The sequence below is a fragment of the Homo sapiens genome, chromosome 18, assembly GCF_000001405.40.
Source record: "Homo sapiens chromosome 18, GRCh38.p14 Primary Assembly".
Lineage (NCBI taxonomy): Eukaryota > Metazoa > Chordata > Mammalia > Primates > Hominidae > Homo > Homo sapiens.
In genome coordinates, this window is record NC_000018.10 from 6,116,073 (window position 1) to 6,137,504 (window position 21,432).

Sequence of the window (21,432 nt, forward strand, 5' to 3'; positions counted from 1 at the left end):
ATCATAGAAAGCTGGACAGAGATGCTCTAATAGCTAAAGTGGTAGTGAAACTGGAGCAAAATCAACACCAATAGTGCCGCAGAAGAGCAGGACATAAAGGGGTTTTAAAAGGACCACAGGGTTCAGCAACAAGGAGGCTTAAGGTGACCTGGCCAGAGCTGGGAGTGGCACTGTAACCAGAGTCATGTGACAGGGCTCCAAGAAGTGCTGGGGGCATGGGAACGGGAGGACAGGCCATCCCTCTGTCCCTCTAGGATGCGTTACATTGTTGTTGTGGTTGTTGCTGGTTTTTTTTTTTTTTTTTTTGAGATGGAGTCTTACTCTGTAGCTCAGGCTGAAGTGCAAGTGGCACACGATCTCAGTTCACAGCAACCTCCGCCTCCCGGGTTCAAGCGATGCTCCTGCTTCAGCCTCCCAATTATCTAGGATTACCGGCATGCACCACCCTGCCCAGCTAATTTTTGTATTTTTAGCAGAGACAGGGTTTTGCCCTGTTGGTCAGGCTGGTCTCAAACTCCTGACCTTAGGTGATCCACCTGCCTCGGCTTCCCAAAGTGCTAGGATTACAGGCATGAGTCACCATGCCCAGGCACAAAAGTTATCTTGAAGTAGAGAAAAGTTGTTTGTTTTTAGAGAGATTTGGACATGATTAAGTTTTTTTGTTGAATATATCCCAAATAAAAAGGCATAATACATACGCATGCTGTTTATAACATAATTATAAAGCAAATACCTGTGTAGCCAGCATCATGGTCAAGAAACTAAATACTTCCAGCCTTACAAAAGCCCCATGTGCCTTCCAAACCCTGTGTTGACCTTTGCTCGGTCACTTCTTTGCTTTCATTCGTACTGTTACCATCTATGCATGTATCCCTATGCAACACTGCTTAGTTTTGTGGGTTCCAGAACTTCCTATCCTTTGCATTACACCATATGCATTGCTTTGGTGTTGCAGTAGTTTTCACACAACGTGATGTTTGTGAGATCCACGCATATTGTTGTGTCTGGCTGCAGCTTATTCCTTTGCATGGCTGCATAGTTTTCCTTTGTACAAATATAGTCAGAGATCTTGTGGAAAAATCCCTTAGAATGGAAGAGACTGAGGGTCAATAAGCGGGACTAATTTATAGACAGGTGACTGACAAAGGTGGGGTGAGGTCAGAGACTGGCATGAAACAGAAGGAAGGACTTGGTTTTGTCCTGCCAGGATGAGGGAGTCATGATTGGGTGGCAATTATTTTTTCAGCAAAGTAGGAGCTGAGGTCTGTCTCATGAAGTGGGAAAGGGAAATAACCCAGAAATTCTACAAAATAGCTACTGTAAGGGAAGTTAAGAGACCTCCCAGAGAGAGCTGAGGTCTGAGCAGAGCCACAGAACACGGCTCTAAGCTGCCAACAGCAACTGATTTGAGTGGATAATTCCCTCAGGCTGCCATCAGCATCCCATCTTTGGTAGGAGGGCAGGAGGATGGGAAAAGCTGTGAAACTGGTGGAGTTAAAGGATGTAAGTTCAAATGCTGAATCTGCTACTTACTAGGAATCAGCAAGATAGCTGATCCTTCTGAACCTGTTTCCTCATCTAAAAAATTGGAGATAAGATTTGTCGTAAAACATTTGTGTGATAAGTACAGCGTCCTATGTTAAAATCTTGGCACACAACAGAAACCCAATATTTGAAGTATCAAAAAAAGACATTCTTAATAGATTATTAACAATAAAACTGCAATGTCATTGTTAGTAATGACATATTCTTAATATTCACATATTGGACTAATGCTGAATAAACTCACAGAAAGAATTTCCAATTCTCTGTATTAATAACACAAGACAGAAATGCCAGCCCTTATGTTTACTGCATCAAATGTGCCATGAAGGCCACCTGTCAACCACAGGCTCAGGTGCCTGAGAACACAGCCAGGCTGAACACACTCAGGCCACACTCCCAACCTCTGATCTCTGAGGGTAAAAGCTTACAAAGTCTCAGAACCAAGTTGTAGAGGCTCCTGTCACCTCCTCTGCCCCATCTGTGGCCTCTTCCCCATGCCCCACTATCACCACCTAACCCCAAGCTTCAGGTATTTGAAACTGCATGCAAACTCACTCTCTCTCTCTCTCTCTGTCTCTTAAACACACACAAACACACACACACACACACACGAGCACTTGCTCTGTGTCAGCTACTCCCTCTTGCTGGAATATCCCTCCTATCCCCCTTTGTTTGGTTAACTCTTACTCATCCTTCAGGACTCATCAAAGATACCACCTTTCCCCGGAAACTTTTCTGGAAATTCCTCAACTGGATCCAGAGATGTTCACAGGACCACCTATGGCACTCAAAACATACCTTTCTGCACCACTGAATTAACTTTCTAGGTATCATTCATCTCCTTCCCTGACTGAGCTTCTGGAAACAGAGATAGATCTTATACCTAGCACAGTGCTGGATGCTTAAGGGCATTCAATACATGCTTGTTCAGTGAAAGAAAAAAAACTCAGAGAAAAGAAAGGAACATAAACCATTTCCAGGTGATATAGTTTTGTTGAAGACTTAAGTAATTATTTTTATTGAAGATATTAATGCAAACTCTTTTACTTTTTCACAAATCTTAAGTTTCTACAGTGTTTTTCTCTAAAGTACCTAGCTAGCTCTTCTACTCAGAAGAAACCCTTAAAAACATAACATAAAAATTTCATTAACTACTTACATGACCTTGTTTTAAAATACTGGTAAGTAACACCAAAAGTGGTTAACTAAAGGAACATCAAGTGTTTTATTCTTTTAGGGGTTTGCAATGTGTTTGCATATATTACAGAAGAACAGTACTTTGATCATTTGGCCCAAATGTTCACATCAAGGTAAAATTACATATTTCAATTTTACCAGAACTTTCTAATAGATTTGGCACAGTTTTTTTTGGTTTCTTTTTTTTTTTTTTTTTTTTTTTTTGACTAGAACAGTATCCCTCCCTTCAAAGAGCTTCCTTTGCAAGGCTGAGTCCACCTCTGCTGGGTGGCTCACAGCCAGCTTATCCCTGTATTTTCACCAGTTATTAACAATTACAATCATACCAAGTTACAGGTAGTGAAAGAGAGAGCACTGGTTTATTTGCCACCAGCTGCTGACTTGATTTTTTTAGAAATATGACAGCCAGGAGCACTGTACTAAAATCCTTAGCACTTATCTCTGTGAACAAAAATTAGGAGCTGTTTGGAACTACTGTCAAAAGGAACCATGAAAATGCAAACAGCCGAACAATTGCAGATGGCACCTAAATGCTAGGCACAGTCTAACACACAGATTTTCCTCGTGCCCAGGATGTAACATCAGTTTGCTGCTTAACACAACATGGTTTTTAATCCTTTTCAAAAAGTCTTTTTTAGTGTTTGTGAATTAGCAGCAAAGAATTCTTAGATAAACGTGTGGGTGGTAGGGGTGAGAGAAAGAGGCAGGGTGTTAGGCTTGAATGCGTATGGATCGCTGTTCAGGAAATACTCAAAATAGGGATATCTGCTATTTTATTCCTCCTAAGATTTTTATGATCTATTTTGTAATCTAGTTTAAACAGTACAGAAGCCAGGCCTAAGGAATATTATTTGATAGAAGACCATGGCTCTCTCATGTATGTGGAGGTGTATGTGTCCCAGGTTTAATTCAAGGTAAAAGACCAGGATTTTTTCTGATATGTCTGATATGTCTCTCTGCAAGACCTGTTGTCTCATAGAAAGAAAAAACATTTCTCTACCCTAGTTCTGCATATATGTCTGGGAATAGGAGAAAGAGTATCAGATGAGTAGTTAGAAGACTAAAAGCTAAGCATAAAGGAAGCAAAAACAGACCACCAACTGGGTAATTGTCTCCAGAACACAAGGCTGAAAAGCGAGGTCTCCTAATTCCTAATTCAGGGAAATTTAAACATTTCACTCTGTTCTGTTCACTCATTTTCAATTCATGACAGAGACTTGCAAAGCAGACTAAAGCCCAAGCTGAGTCTTATGGACTGTGAAACACCACTGAGGGCCTGAAACAGCACAGATGTGTTTTCAACCTCACTAAACTGTGCAACACACTGAGGGCCTGAAACAGTACAGATGTGTTTTTAACCTCACTCAACTGTGCAACACTCGGTCCTCCCAGGTCAGTCTCGGAACCGACCACGTGCCTCCTAAGGTGGTCTACAAGCCCAGGGGCCCGGGGCCTGCTTGCTAATGGCCTTTACACCAGTCATTACTGTTTCCTCTGGAGTGTCATGAGGTGGCTATGGAGAGGGAAGGAAGACAGGATGCCACCTCCCAGCTTGGCGTTACTAACCTAATATATCAGACTGTTGCCTGTGTTGCAAGGGCCAGCTTGTGGAGAAACTTGTGAGTAACGTTAGGAAGGCTACTCTGATTTTCTTGAGGTCATTTTTGTTTGAAAAACTTTTTAAAATTGAAGTAGAACTTTATATAGAGTGCCCAGATTATAAGTTGTCTTCTTCACAACTGACCATGCTCCTAGAACAACCACTAAGTCAGAAAACAGAACATAAACCCAGAGGCCCCTCCATTCCTCCTCTTCCAGTCACTCCCTGTAGGGGTAATTACCAGGCTGAATCTTAATCCTTAAGAGACTCATGTTTCCTGCTTTTGTACCTTATATGAATGGGGTCATTCAGTAATTACTATTGGTGTTTGGCTTCTTTCAATGAGCTTTACACCTGTGAGCTTCATCCAGGTTATGTGTAGTTAGAGCCACTCATTCTCAATGCAGTACAGCATCCCACTGTGTGAACAGGACACAATTTATCTATGCACTGTTGATGGGTGTTTGGGTAGATTCAAGTAGGAGCTATTATAAATAGCGCTGCTACAAACATTCTGGTGCATGTCTTTTGGTGAGCTGACGCACGTACTTCTTGGACATATGACTAGGAATAGGATTGCCATATTTCTTGAAGTTATTTTTGGCATCTACTAGATAAGTGATGTTTACAACATTCTATAAAAAAGCCCCAAGGTCAAGTCTCCATTAATTACACAAAGAATTATCTGTTGTCCATTCATTCTTGAACTTTCTGCAGCATGTACTATTATAACTGAGGTCAATGCCACTGTATCTATTTTAGTAAGCAGCATGTTCATTTACAGATGCACAGCACCACATTATTTACTTTGGATTATTGCCCTGGCATTTCTAACGCAATCCTAAATCACCCTCCACCTCAGCCACTGCTATCAAGAAGAAATTAAGAAAATTCAGTAATAACAACTAGTTCTTATAAATAGGCGATGCACCTCTTCCATCTGGCCCCACATAAAGATAGGCAAATGAATATTAAATCTGACATATGCAGGCACTGAATTATAACAACAGAAATTGGAATATGATGCTATAATTATCATATCATCAAAATGAGAATGAGATGAAGGGATAATTAAAATCATCATGCCCAGCTTAATATTTTCATAACTAAAGCTTTTATTCCAGATTGCTGATTTGCAAGTTTCTTATTGATATTTCATGTCTTACAAGGAGCACTTTCACAGCCCTACACACCAAAGGGGAAGCAGACATTCAAGTAGATTCTTTTTCTTTATTTTTTAAATAAATCATAACAACTAGCATTGTTTCCCCGTGTGTGTGTGTGTGTGTGTGTGTGTGTGTGTGTATGTGTGTGTGCATGTTTGTATTTTGGAGTTGGGAATCAAAAGTTCATGGTTTGAAAAGAATTCTGAGGATCATTTCGTCTTGGCCTTGTCTCAAGTGAGAAAACTGTTCTTAACAGTCTCCTTAACAACTGATTATCCAGATGTAGCAGGTTTGTGCGTCATTTAGGATCAATTTCCCTTTCTGATCTAAAATCTTCCTAATCTACAAGTGAGAGGCATAATTTCAACTACCACTCCAGTTCTGCATATACATCCGGGAATAGGAGAAAGAGTATCAGATGAGTAGTTAGAAGACATTTAATTTAAAATCAGCTCTACCACTTATGAGTTGTGCAGTGATGGGAAGACACTATCTGTCCAAGGCTCGCTTTTTTAATTCATAAAATAGAAATAATAAAACTTACATCACAGGGCTGCTCTGTGTATTAAATAATATATGTGAAAACATTCTGTTAGTGGTTAAATTATACACAAATATAACATATTATTATGATTGTTATTATTAACTTGTACAATAGACACTTTCCAAAGGAAAAAACATCAACATTCAAACTTTGAATCAAATTTTGCCCAATTGTCTGCACTACAAGTAACTTCCAAAAATAAGTTGTACTATCAACTTGATATGATTTGGCTGTGTCCCCACCCAAATCTCATCTTGAATTCCCACATGTTGTGGGAGGGACCCAGTTGGAGGTAACTGAATCCTGGGAGCAGGTCTTTGCCATGATGTTCTCATGAGAGTGAATAAGTCTCACAATATCTGATGGTAATATAAGAGGGAGTTTCTCTGCACAAGCTCTCTTTTTGCCTGCCACCATCCATGTAAGACATGACTTGCTCTTCCTTGCCTTCCACCATGATTGTGAGGCCTCCCCAGCCATGTGGAACTGTAAGTCAAATTAAACCCTCCTTCTTTTGTAAATTGCGCAGTCTTGGGTATGTCTTTATCAGCAGCATGAAAATGGACTAATACACAACCTTACCCTCATTCATAAAAGGAAGATTGGCCAAGGCCGTATTATCTCTTTGAATTATAGCCATTATCTTTAAAGAATGGTGTTTATCCAAAAATTTAAGAAAACAGAATCTCCATGAGAATTATATATTTAAATCTAACTCATATATAAGGAAGAAACTATAGAAAGTGACAAACTTCCTAAACTTAGGAATGTTATTTCTTAGAAAAAATAATCCATTTTAATGCACATTACAGAGTTTTCCATGAATTCATTTTAACTAGGATAAATCTTCAACAATTTGAGTAATTCCAGGAAATCACAGCATGTTAATTAAAAGATTATATTTTCTTTTTTCCTGTGCCTAGTAGATAATGGAAGGGTCATTAATCTTGATTCTTGAGGCATCTTTAGGAAAGGGGGTTATTCTAACCCAGTTCTTGCTGCTAGCAATAGTTTTGCAATTATGGGCCTTACATTTGGAATATAGATCCTGGACTCATGATATTTACATTTTATTAAACAGTGAAATGCACATAGAATAAGTTTCTTGCAACTGGAAAAAGTCATGTCCAGGCAGTATGCTGTTGATCTTAGAGAATTATGTTGTGATGTATCTCTTAAACAATATTGAGATGGTTTGGCTGTTTACCCACTCAATCTAATCTTGAATTGTAGCTCCCACAATCCCCACGTATCATGGGAGGGACCCAGTGGGAGGTAATTGAATCATGGGGGCAGGTCCTTTCTGTGCTGTTCTCATGATAGTGAATAATTCTCATGAGATCTGATGGTTTTATACAGGGCTGTTCCCCTGCATAGGCTCTCTTGCCAGCCACCATGTAAGATGTGCCTTTGCTACTCCTTCGCCTTCCACCATGATTGTGAGGCCTCCCCAGCCATGTGAAACTGTGAGTCCATTAAACCTCCTTTTCTTTATAAATTATCCAGTCTTTGGTATGTCTTTATTAGCAGCGTGAGAACAGATTAATATGAATATCACAGATATTTTAACTAAAAACGAAGTGAGAAATCACCTAATCCAATCATCTTGTTTTGCAGATAAAGAAACCAAGGCCTAGAGATTATGTGAATTTGTCCTTTGTCCTACTACCTGGCATTACAACAGTTATTCTTAAATTACTTTTAGTTAAGGGCTAGGCCCACCTGAAACTGTTTTTACTTTGAAAAAATAAGTGACGAAATGACAGTTTCCATTCCAGTGATGTTTATGTGTTGGGATCAACGAGTGTGTGAACTCCTTGGGGTAAAGACTTTGTAGCTGCCATGTATTCCATCATACCAGGTGTAAGGAAGGCCCACATCAGGCTGGTAAATGGTGATGAAGATGGTAAGAACAGAGGCCAGAAAAGCTGCCCAGGAGGCATAAGGCAGTCACCACATGAAAACATCTCAGTGGAGGGATGAGAGATCAAACTAGCAATTTAGAACATTCATTCAAGTGATTTTCCTAGTATTCAGAGGGACAGGACGAAGAATGGAAAATGATGAGAGAAAAGATGGAGTCACGAGGGATAGATGTAGAGGTTCCAATGTCATTTAATAGAAATTCTAGAGAGAATATATCTGGAATAGAAATAGAACTTGAAAAAATACTCAGAGGAAAAAATGGTCTCGTACAAAGGAGGACATTAGTCTCAAACTGAGAAAAGAGTATTAGAGGTAAATTTAATGAAAAAAACTATATATAGACATATATAGGGGGATTTTAAATTATATATACAGTTATATTATTATATATATGTATATATAAAAATTATATATACAATTATATATACACACCAATACATGCAGTACACTATCAATACATGGTAGCAGGAGACTTTGTTATCATGGTAAAAACTAGAAGATGATAGCAAGCAACAGGACAGAGAGAGCTCTGAAAGAAAAAGGTCTGGGCTTAAACACCTGTCTCCCATCAAATTGCTTTCAAGGGTGAAATGCATTTTCTAATATGCAAAGATTTTAAATGTAATATGCAGGCACCTAGACAAATCAAAACAACTCTTGAAGTGTGCTGGAACAAGGAATAAAGGAAATTAAGTAAAGAAATAAGGAGGAAATTGAGGCTGGAAAGGATGAGAGATTACCACTGGAATCAGTAAAGGTGCATGGTAGTTTTAAATATGATTGAAAAAATTGTTTGTGTTCCTTTTTTTCTTTCCACGAATTGATCTCTATTGCTTTAAAAATGGAAGGAAAAAAAGAGTAAGGTATGTATTCTCAAATCTAATTAACACAATAGATATACTGAATTAGGAAAAGAAAAGATAAATATTTAGCATTGCCTCTTTCCCAAAAGAAAGCCAAAGATTAATATTCTCTAATGACTTTGATAAGTAAGTAAATGTAGGTTTAGAAACGCATCTGAAAAAAACATTAGAATAACCAATAGAATAATAAAAAACATTTGGGTGGATAGATGCTCTTACTCCTAAACTAGAAATTATTAACTAACAAAATGCGGAAGGAAGGAGGAAAGGAAGGAAGGAAGGGAGGGGAGGGAGGGGAAAGGAAGGTCCCCTCCTTTGTCCTACCACTAGTAGCAAGAACACAACAAAAGAAACAAAATATTTAAGGCATAAAGCAAATTGGCATATGTACAAGTTATGTTATAATTTTAACAATAACTGCAAATAGGTTAAACTCTCTTATCAACAGGAAAAGGCTCTTGGATGGGATTTTCTTTCTTTTTAAAAAAATAGTTTTGTTAATTAAATAATTTTTGTTTTGTTTTGTTCTTTTGGAAACAGGTTCTCATTCTGTCACCCAGGCTGGAGTGTAGTGGCGTGATCTTGGCTCACTGCAGCGTCAACCTCCTGGGCTCAGGCGATCCTCCCACCTCAGCCTGCTGAGTAGCTAGGACTACAGGCACACACCACCACACCCCACTAATGTCATGTATTTTTTGTAGAGATGAGGTCTTACTATGTTGTCCAGGCTGGTCTCGAACTGCTGGGCTCAAGCAATCCTCCTGCCTTGGCCTCCCAAAGTGTTGGAATTACACATGTGAGCCACTGTGCCTGACCTTCTTTTTAAGACAGTTATATATGCTTTTCATAAAAAGCATACCTGAATAAAATACCATGAAAAGCTAAAAATAATAGAACAGACAACTAATTTTTGAACATTCACATGCACACACATGAATTTTGTTTGGCACTATTAATATGAGACAAAGAAGTAGTCAAGGGAAAACACAGGACTAAGAGTCATTTCTAACTAACATAGAATCCAGACCAAAGACACGAATTTATGGACAAAATAATATGTGGACCAATCATTTATGGACCAAATATGTGATCAATGTAACTCAGGAATTTTTAACAACATGGGAGACTATTTTATATTTTATTGAAGGACAAATGACAAAAAAAATCTGTATATTCTGTCTGATTCTACCCATGAAAAACTATATATGTATATATGTGGAAAAAAACAAAAAAGACACAGATTAAAGGCATATAACTTAGTACTTGGATTATGGGACTATAAGTGGTTTTTATTTATTTTTAAATGCTTCTTTATATTGTCTAAATTTTCGGTATTGACCATAGACTAATCTTGTAATAAAATGGTATCATTTTAAAATAATGTATAATTGCAATATTTCTAACTTTTTAAAGAGAATGAATTTTCTTTGTTTATATTTACTCTGATTTTGGTTCTCAAGGTGACTTAAAATTACCAGATTTCATCATTTCAGCTTCTCCTTAATCAATGTACTGCTCTTTCTCACACAGAAATAAACCAAAGCCATATCTGCTTTCCTCATAAGGATACAGTTCCTACAACCTTGGCAATTTATGTAATTTAGAATGTTGCACTTAATAAAATCCTTAGAATGTATCAAATAATATAGTACCTTTGGAAATCAGTGCCATAGTTGCTACAAAATTAAGCATTTCATGTGCAATTTTTTCTTAAAGAATTTAGAAAAAAAAATCATTGAATTCTCACATAATTATTTCCCAGTTCAGTAAAATCAGACCTATACATTAACCTTGAAGAATTTTATAGTAATGGGTAGAACTGATTTAAAGATCCATGACTGATCTTTTGTTACATTATCAATGCTTTTACTAAATTGGGTAATTAATCATGTCACTTTGAGAATTAAAAGGTTCTTTAAAATCAGATACTCTTTTTCCTTTTGCTTATTAAAGTAAAAATACATCTGCAAGTTTATTTTTAAATTTCCACCCAGTTCAATTTCACTGTGTGGTAACAGGATGTCAAGGAAAATGACAGACCAAGTGACAAAGGAATCAGATAAATGTAAGCACGTGTCACTGAGGTGCTTTCCTGGCATGATAAAAGTTTTAACTGAAGGTGACACCAAATTAAGAAGTACTGTGCATAAAAATTAAAGCCGTGCCTTTGGGAACCCTTTTGAACACAGTGTTTCAATCAGCCACTGTAAATTCACAAAATTTACGGAGCCAAACTAAACACAAAGTAAATTTATGAGAGCTTTTACTTTCTATATCAAGCTTGTCCAACTTGCGGCCCATGGGCTGCATGTGGCCTAGGATGGCTCTGAATGCAGCCCTAGACAAATCTGTAAGCTTTCTTAAAACATTATAAATTATGAATTTTTTTAGCTCGTCAGCTGTCGTTAGTGGTAGTATATTTTGTGTGTGGCCCAAGACGATGCTTCTTCTTCCAGAGTGGCCCAGGGAAGCCAAAAAATTGGACACCCCAGTTCTACATGATGAACATGTTATTGTGATGACTTAGAACAACTAGAGAGAATACGAAATAAAACCATAAACTATTAGGTGAATTATTATTTGGTAGGTAAATGAAGTTTTAAGAATAAGTTAGAGAATACATAGCAGATTGGAAAATTGAATTCATCCTTTGTCCTTGCGAATAAATCCTTTCTCTCTCTACTAAAATAGCAATAAATGAATAAAAGACAAAGCACGATGCTGGCAGATGAGAGAAGTGAACACATTTTTGAAGATAGAAAACAGATAAGCTGAGAGCCAAGAGTCTGCAGATAGAGGATGCTATAAAAACACACCAGGAAAAGTTTGGAACCGTCTTCTTTTTTGGAAGTAACTTTCTTACTCAAAGGACAAGATCTCCTGATGGTGGTGGAGGGGAGGCTCTTCTGCAGTGTGCCTGGGCCCTGCCAGCCACCCTCCCAGAAGTTCACCATTGATGGGCTCCAGCAGTGCACACAAAGCCTCACGCCAGCTTTTTTTGGTGCCTCACTCTAAAAAGTGAACAAAACAAAGACTACCAGAATTTGAGAAATGCCTTTAGTATAATGGGAAGAAGCCAACCAACCTAACCAAAAACGAATCAAAACAAAAATATTGGGTGGGGCGGGGGAAGAGTCAATGCAGGGAGCAGAAAAAACAACTCCAAACATTATCAGAGAGGTAAGAAAAGCTACACAATCTATCCAGCAAGAACAGGATACAATAAAAACAAATCAGAGAATAAGAATGTGTTCTCAGAAACTGAAAAAAAAAAACACAGTATAATCAAAAACTTCAACTGAAGGATTAGAAGACAAACTTGAGGAGATATTTCATAAAAGAGAATAAAAGACAAGGAGTGAAAAAGTTCTGAGCATCAGTTGAGGAAAGCAAACAGAGCAAATAGAAAAGAGAGTATTATTGACAAATAAAATGAGAACACCTCCCATAAATAAAAGAGGTGAGTCTCCAGATTGAAACAATGAATGGACAAAAGGCCAATTTCAAGTCACCAGGGATAAATTAAAAAAAGCCCTAAAAATGCCCAGGGAGGTGCAGTTCTTGCAGAGGGGAGGGGAGTGACATGATAGAGCGTGGGAAGAGGAACAGTCCCATGGGTGGATTTAAATTTGAACGAAAGCAGACTCCTCAACAACAAAACGGTAAACATAACATGGAATGATGCCTTCAATATTCTGAAGGAAAAGGACTTCCAACTGGAATTGTACCCATGGCTGAGGAGACACACAAGCTATTTTAGTTAGAAAAGTAACTCCCTCGCACAAACTCTGTCCCAAAAAGTCAGGAAATGAAGAACATAAATTGGTGAAAAGAGCTCTCCAAGCCAGGAATAGAAGCTCCAAGGAAAGGGAGATAAAGGGAATTCCAAGATGGAGGAAAGACCTGGAAGGCAGCTGTGCAGCAGGTCTGGAGAGAAAGCAGTTCAGACGGAGGAAGGGCAGAGGGCTATCTTTGAGGTGAGAGGCGGATTAATGGACCCCCTGATGTGTCTGGCTGTAGCTGAGTCAAAAGCCAAATGGAGAAGTTTGTATTTTTAGGTCACATTGTGATACAACCAGAGGGTGTTCAGTCAAAGCCAACCCAACAAGCAGGAGGATGGCTGAGGAAATGGGAAAGGCTACTTCCAAGGATAACAAGAGATACATGCCTAAGAGATCAGGGGCCCAAAGTGTTCCCACAGGCCTCAATTAAAAGGAAGGTCAATGATGCAAAACAAACGATTACATGTAAAGTCAGACCAACCGAACAAGAATTCCAAGAGCTGCACCTCTAGTTCCTTCCAGAAGGGGTGTCTTAAGTCTCAGAATAATGCATGGACCATCCAAAACAGTTTATCAGCTATACGTGTACCTATTGCTTTATTGTTGTAGTATTATTATTTTGCTTCAAAATATCAATGCATGGATACTCTTAACAATTTACTGGAATTCTCTCTGTGTGTGTGTGTGTGTGTGTGTGTGTGTGTGTGTGTGTGTTCCAATTCACTCATTTCATCATTAAGTTTGGTATTTCTTCCCTTTGGTAATCATTTTTAAAAATTTGTATAACTTTTTGAGTTGAAAGTTGAATTAGTTCACTTTCATTATTTCTTACTGAGTAAGGTATAGATTTCTCTCTGAACATATGTACTATGATATCCTAAAAGTTTATCTCTTCAGTGTTCTCATTATACTAAGTCTAGATTTTCTGAGATTCAGGTCTGGGTTCTCCTCTGATCCCATGATTGCTTAAGTGCTAGAGTGATAGTTATAAACGTTTTTGCATTTGTTCTAGGTGACTGGACTTTTTCTCAACAATTTCTTATTTCATTGCATTTTGATCAAAGAGTAGGTCTGATGTTTTGTTTTGAGAATTTACTGAGTTGTGTGTGGCCTAACGGTAGAGTTTTGAAAAGTGCTTTTAGGCAGATTTATTCTGTTTTCAACTTGATGTATATCTTTAGTCACTCTTCCTCCTTTTCTTAAATCATGTTATTCAGATTCTGTATATTCTTATGTCTGTTTTGCCTGTTTACTCCATCACTCTCTGAAATGGGTGAATTAAAGTCTCCTTATATTATTTTATTTCTCCTTATATTTTCTGCCATTGTACTTCCCAAAACATGATATTATACTCTTTAGTGAATAAAGACTATGTCTGTTTGAATCTCATCATAAAATTGAATCTTTTGTAGTGTAAAGAGCTCTCATTTACAGATGAAGAAATGAAGTTAGGAATAGTGGGGCGATTTGCCTCATACTGCAGAGTGAGCGGTCAGTCTGGATGTCCAGTTCAGGTGAGTTCCAGGCCTTAAACCTGACTAGTGAGACTGACACCCCCCACCCGCCACACACACACATTCACTCACAAAGGGGAACAGACGTGAAAAGAAGAAAACATCTAAAATAATTTCCATCATTATTTTTGGGCTGACCGAACAATTCCAGGTAAATCCTGAATAGAGGGTGAGTTGTCCTATAAGTTTCCACTAAGAGCACCCAAAAATATATTAGATTTATCTGATACCCGCCCCCCCAACTTCTGAGCAGTAAATGCTCCTCTTCTATTTGTATTGTTTCAGGTTTGACACTTCAGTCATGTATGCTGTGCCCTGTGTCCCACACAGGAGTTCTAGGGCAAGAGGCCTTCACATTGTAACAATATCTGGCTCTCAATGTAAATAATATAATTATTGGTTCTTCAATAAATTACCTGTGTATGTTTTATGACACAGAGGTAGATCAAGTCTTCTGGAGTCTGTGTTCTACTCATTTGGAAAAAAAAATTTCGTATCTAATCCTGGACCTTGACTCAAAAGTAAATTTACATCTTGTAGTCCCAATATTGTCATCTTTAAATATTCCTATGTTAACAAATACACCTACTTCACTTTATTCTCTATGTAAATTCATGCAAATAAAATGTAAATTGTGTGCCAAAAGTCCTATTTTCATACAGATAAGAACTGATGCAATTTATTTCAAATAATAATTTATCCATATTCTACATGAATTCCATACAAGTTTGAGTATTATTGCTAACCCCCTATTTTAACAAAAACTAAAATAAACTTGTCTGACATCCATCTAAAAAGGACACCCAGGGTCCACCTCACCTATCAAAGTGAGGTAGTATTTTCAAATGTCCTTAGCAATATTTTGATGTCATCGTTCTCTTTGTCAGCTGTACAAAATAAGATGCTGACAACTTATATTAAGAATACTGTTTACTTCCTTTCAAAACACCAAGGCTTCAATATCAGAATCAGAAATTCTGATTTGAAATGGTAAAAACAACATTCTGCTTGCAAGCACTCCACTGCCTGGGAGCATTTTCTAGAAAAGCAGCTGAAATTGCCACCTTCTTAAAGTGGAGCACTACATTTTCACGCTTTCCCCAGGGTTTGGAAGCAGAAGTCAACTAAGTTGTTTTATACCAGTCCCAGCCAAACCGGAGGGGCTTGGTCTTTTGTTCTGTTGTTTTCTTTTATTCTTCTTTTTCTTAAATATAAGAATATTTGTCTGAGAATCTTCTGGACTAGAGACTGCAAGAAGTGTCTTGTAAAATGATGCCTCTCTGGTAAAGGTACATATCTATGACAAGAGGAAAAAACCTTTTATTTTGGAATACACAAGTTTTACTCATTTAAATTCATTAGGAAACTCAAGCTAGAAATGATGATTATATTAATAGTACACCTAGGAATCTGGGAGAATACAGCAAAGATTTAAAAATTTTATCTCTTCCTCACCATCTCTGACATAAAAGAACAAAATGTATAATGATAACCTCAGGTGTTTTATGGAAAATTTCTAGCAGGCATGCATGTGTGTGTGCGCAAGTGCATGTATATAATATTCTCAAAAGATACTATCCAAGGTTGGTACTGAAGAACAACACTTTTAATCTTTTAGAGCTATATAAATTTAGACTATGACAGCAGTAAAAATATAAGAAAAATGCAGGGATTATGAATGATATCAATTTTTTACAGTTAATTGCAAGAGAATTTTAGTAAATTCTTAAGTTGTACCACAGTTACATTTGTAAATTGATTAACTGGGTAAAAAACAGTGATTATATGATTAAAACAAGAGAGACATCCCCAGCATTTCCTAGAGCTAACCTACATTACTCATGATCCACACTCTCCAATGATACCCTTTCAGCCAACAGTAACTCCATCAAGGATTTATCCTCATTCCTTGAATACAAGGAATTTTGAATTCCTTGTATTAAGACAAAATAGTGTTTAATATAATAAAATTTGTTTGCATTTCCTTTCACAGATAAGTTAAAATGTATTTACCTGATGGTTTACATGTTTCATAACTCCCCTTTATAAAACGCAAGGTCGAGAAACATCCAGTTCTCTAATTTTTGTCTTCTCCATTCTAGATAGATGCTAGCTGCAGGTACTCATTGCCTTTCATTTTCATTTCTGAGACCCTGGAATCATGAAGCTTTTGGAGACCTTGCTCTTACTTGAGTTCGCTCTCTAATAATGAGGTCTGGAACTGGAGAAGAGCTGATAGAATTCATCACCCCAGCAGCCCTGAGCATGTGTGAGGCCTGGAGACAGGATCGCTTCTCAGGCCTGCTGTCTCCCTAAAAATGCCCCATTCTTCTCACTATCACACCTTCAGTATTTCATTTTTTTCTCTAAGCTTCATATAATGCTTTTCTTTAAACCTTTCTTTTTTATATTCTTCTCATTCATTCAGAAATTCTGAGGCCAACCTTTAAAGGCTACTTAGTAGATAAACTTAAGTCAAATATTCTCTTGATAATTAGATAATACAAAGAAGAACATCAATTAGACCCCATTTACATTATGTCAGATGAGAGAAAGTTCAGAGAAGCTGCTGGAACAAAGTGCAGCATGCCCATTGTGTCTGTGTCCACAGCCTTCTCAGAATCTAGTAGGGAGAGGTCAGTCAGAAACACACACGCCCAGCGCAGGAGGCAAGCTGGCTTTGCTGAAGTGGAAAGAGAGGCTTGTGTGAGATGCTCTGCTACCTTAAAAAGCAGTCCAAGAATGGTCGGTGTTATTTTAGCACCAGTTCCACGGGAGGGGTATCAGCAGAGAGCTCTAAGGGACAGACAAATTGCAATACCATGGTGTGACGAACTTTGACGATAATGATTCAAGTTTTGAAGGAGGCATTAAGATGGCCAGTCACTTCACAGAAGTACCTGTCGCTCAAAATACTACAATGAGAGGGCACAGTGTGCCAGGCTCTCTGAGGGCTGTCTGACAGAACTCTCAGGGATGATGGAACCGTTCCATATCTTTGCTGTCCAATACAGTAGCCACTAGTCACAAGGGCTGCTGAGCATGTGAAATATGGCCAAGCGTGTGTGAGGAACACAGAGGCAGGGGACTAACGAGTACCATAGTGGGTGTTACAGCTCTAGATCACACACACACACACACACACACACTCCCCCCACACACAAACAGAAGGCCTGAGGAAGATGATCTCCATGGCTATATACTCCTAGTGCTTGTCTAGGAAGTGGCTCCATCAACTCCAGCAGAGTCCTCGCTAATACAGGGCACCCTCCTAATCATGGGCTTCTCCCCTCCTCTCCCCTTCCCTCCCTCATCTTTCCTTTTTCCTGGTTTCCTCCTCCCCTCACAGAGCACTAATGTTACAGCAGGTATAAGACATTGAACAGATTGTGAAAAAAAATGTGGGTAGCTAGGCAGACATGAGCAGGGCGGGAAAGGCCCCCTACCCCAGGAATGTCAGGCAACCATCAGGTGATGGTCAGGTGGTTGTTCGACTGTCTCTCTAAAATAATAATTGGTCACAGCTGGGAGGTGCCAGGGAAAGGCAGCCTCCCAGTAGATGGGAAACACCTGAAACTGGTACCAGCCGCTTCCTGATAAGATCTCAGGAGTTGGGTGAGTGGGCCCCAGCCTGTTCACTAAGAGGCAAAATGGTGGAGTTTAACTGGCACATGACCTTCCTCTAGGAACATTCAACTGGTAAGGGAAAAATGCCTCAAATGAGCACGTACACAATCTTCAGTAAACACATTGTGCATATGGCCTGTATTAGTCCATTTTCACTCTGCTGATAAAGACATACCCGAGACTGGGAAGGAAAAAGAGGTTCAGTTGGACATGCAGTTCCACATGGCTGGGGAGGCCTCATATTCATGGCAGAGGGTGAAAGGCACTTCTTACATGGTGGGAGCAAGAGAAAGTGAGGGAGAAACCAAAGCAGAAACCCCTGATAAACCCATCAGATATCGTGAGACTTGTTCACTATCACAAGAATAGCATGGGAAAGACCTGCCCCCATGATTCAATTACTTCCCCCTGGGTCCTTCCCACAACACTCGGGAATTCTGAGAGATACAATTCAAGTTGAGATTTCAGAGGGGACACAGCCAAACCATATCATTCCACCCCGGCCCCTCCAAATCTCAGGTCCTCACATTTCAAAACCCATCATGCCTTCCCAACAGTTCCCCAAAGTCTTAACTCATTTCAGCATTAACCCAAAAGTCCACAGTCCAAAGTCTCATCTGAAACATAGCAAGTCCCTTCTGCCTATGAGCCTGTAAAATCAAAAGCAAGCTAGTTACTTCCTAGATACAATGGGGGTACAGGTACTGGGTAAATACAGCTGTTCCAAATGGGAGAAATTGGCCAAAACAAAGGGGTTACAGGGCCCATGCAAGTCTGATATCCAGCAGGGCAGTCAAATTTTAAAGCTCTCAAATGATCTCCTTTGACTCCAGGTCTCACATCCAAGCCACGCTGATGCAACAGGTGGGTTCCTATGGTCTTGGGCAGCTCCACCCCTGTGGCTTTGCAGGGTACAGCCTCCCTCCTGGCTGCTTTCATAGGCTGGTGTTGAGTGCCTGCAGCCTTTCCAGGTGCATGGTACAAGCTGTCAGCGGATCTACCATTCTGGGGTCTGGAGGACAGAGGCCCTCTTCTCACAGCTCCACTAGGCAGTGCCCCAGTAGGGACTCGGTGTGGGGGCTCTGACCCCACATTTCCCTTCCACACTGCCCTAGCAGAGGTTCTCCATGAGATCCCTGCCCCTGCAGCAAACTTTTGCTTGGGCATCCAGGCATTTCCATACATCTTCTTAAATCTAGGCGGAGGTTCCCAAACCTCAATCTTGACTTCCATACACCCACAGGCTCAACACCATGTGGAAGCTGCCAAGGCTTGGGACTTCCACCCTCTGAAGCCATAGCCCAAGCCTTATGTTGGCCCCTTTCAGCCACAGCTGGAGCAGCTGGGAAACAGGGTACCAAGACTCTAGGCTGCACACAACTGGGCCCAACCCACAAAACCACTTTTTCCTCCTGGGCCTCCAGGCCTGTGATGGGAGAGGGTGCCGTAAAGGTCCCTGACATGGCCTGGAGACATTTTCCCCATGGTCTTGGGGATTATCATTAGGCTCCTTGCTACTTATGCAAATTTCTGCAGCCAGCTTGAATTTCTCCTCAAAAAATGGGTTTTTCTTTTCTACTGCATCATCAGGCTGCAAATTTTCTGAACTTTTATGCTCTGTTTTCCTTTTAAAATGGGATGCTTTTAACAGCACCCAAGTCAACTTTTGAATGCTTTGCTGCTTAGAAATTTCTTCCACCAGATACCCTAAATCATCTTTCTCAAGTTCAAAGTTCCACAAATCTCTAGGGCAAGGGCAAGATGCTGCCAGTCTCTTTGCTAAAACATAACAAGAGTCACCTTTGCTCCAGTTCCCAACAAGTTCCTCATCTCCATCTGAGACCACCTCAGCCTTATTGTTCATATCACTATCAGCATTTTTGTCAAAGCCACTCGACAAGTCTCTGGGAGGTTCCAAACTTTACCACATTTTCCTGTCTTCTTCTGAGCCCTCCAAACTGTTCCAACCTCTGCCCTTTACACAGTTCCAAAGTTGTTTCCACATTTGCTTGTACCTTTTCAGCAGTGTCCCACTCTAATGGTACCAATTGTACTGTATTATTCTGTTTTCACACTGCTGATAAAGACATACAGGGGACTGGGAAAGAAAAAGAGGTTTAATTGGACTTACAGTTCCACATGGCTGGGGAAGCCTCAGAATCATGGTGGGAGGTGAAAGGCACATCTTACATGGTGGCAGCAAGGGAAAATGAGGAAGAAAGCAAAAGTGGAAACCCCTGATAAACCCATCAGATCTTGTGAGACTTATTCACTATCACAAGAATAGCACGGGAAATACTGGGCCCCATGATTCAATTACCTCTCCCTGGGTCCCTCCCACAACATGTGGGAATTTTGGGAGATACAATTCAAGTTGAGATTTGAGTGAGGATACAGCCAAACCATATCACAGCCCCTCCCAAGTGCTGGCAGGCCACTGCACATGTGGACAGTCCACTCCAAGGAAGAATCAGGGTGACTCAGGAGAATAGGGTCTGGAGGCAGGGAACCTAAGGCCAATTCACGCTGACTTCCTAGAACTAAACGAAAAGAAAACCCCCAACTTTCCACACTAAAGTAACAAAAGGACCAGAGGCTACTCCCTTTGCACCCCTCACCCCCTGCTTTTCTGCATGAAAGATGGAAAATTGAAAGTATCTCTGATTGGTTGTAGACAGCAACCAGATGTGGAGAGCAACCAATCAGATGTTTGCATAGGAGTGTAACTTTGCAACTTCACTTCAGCCTCTGATTGGTTGCTTTCCACAACCGATCAGACTGACTGTGGCCCACTACTTCACCTACATAGAGTGTACCAAGTAACCAATGGGAAACCTTTAGAGGGTATTTAACCCCCCTAAAAATTCTGTAATGGGGATCTTGAGGCCCTGTGCTTGGGTGTGCTCCCACTCTATGGAGTGTACTTTCACTTTCAATACATCTCTGCTTTCATTGCTTCATTCTTTCCTTGCTTTGTTTGTGTGTTTTGTCCATTTCTTTGTGCCAGACACCAAGAACTTGGACACCCTCCACCAGTAACGAGGACAGAAGAAATGCAGCGCCTAGAATTATGCCAATGTATAAAAACCCCAAGGCAAGGCCTAAATGGCTCACTTGACTTTCTCAAGTTGCCCTCCTGGCCTTCTTCCAAGTGCACTTTACTTCCTTTTGCTCCTGCTCTAAAACTTTTTAATAACATTTCACTCTTGCTCAAAAACTTGCTTTGGTCTCTCACTCTGCCTTATGCCCCTGGGACAAACTCTTTCCTCTGAGGAGGCAAGAATTGAGTTACTGCAGACTCCTTACAGACTTGACACTGCTGGGACTAAGACATCTCCTCCGGGTCCAGCTCCACATTCACAGTCTGAGTCCCACAGATTTTCACAAGTCGCCAAGCAGTCTTCATGTCTTTCTTTTTTTATGAATGCTATATTTTTTTCTTTTAAGTGTTAATAGATTTACACATATCACATTTATATTCATGTATGTGATTTGGGAGTGCTTATCACTATTACAGTGGCATTTCCTTTTATTCAGTTAAAAATGTTTTAGGCACTAGTTTCCAGGATTGCCTGATAAAGCATGGACTTCCTGTATTATGCTTAGATCCTTTATTCAAACAAATGTTTTCTTGCTTCATGTATTATATGACTTATTCTTTTCTCTTT

At 39.6% G+C, this 21,432-nt stretch overlaps 1 protein-coding gene across 27 annotated transcripts in view; it reads right to left on the reverse strand.

The window, feature by feature from the left end:
- The window catches only part of L3MBTL4 (L3MBTL histone methyl-lysine binding protein 4), a 460,543-nt gene that overhangs the window by 161,356 nt on the left and 277,755 nt on the right, over positions 1 to 21,432 (reverse strand). The window lies entirely within an intron of this gene.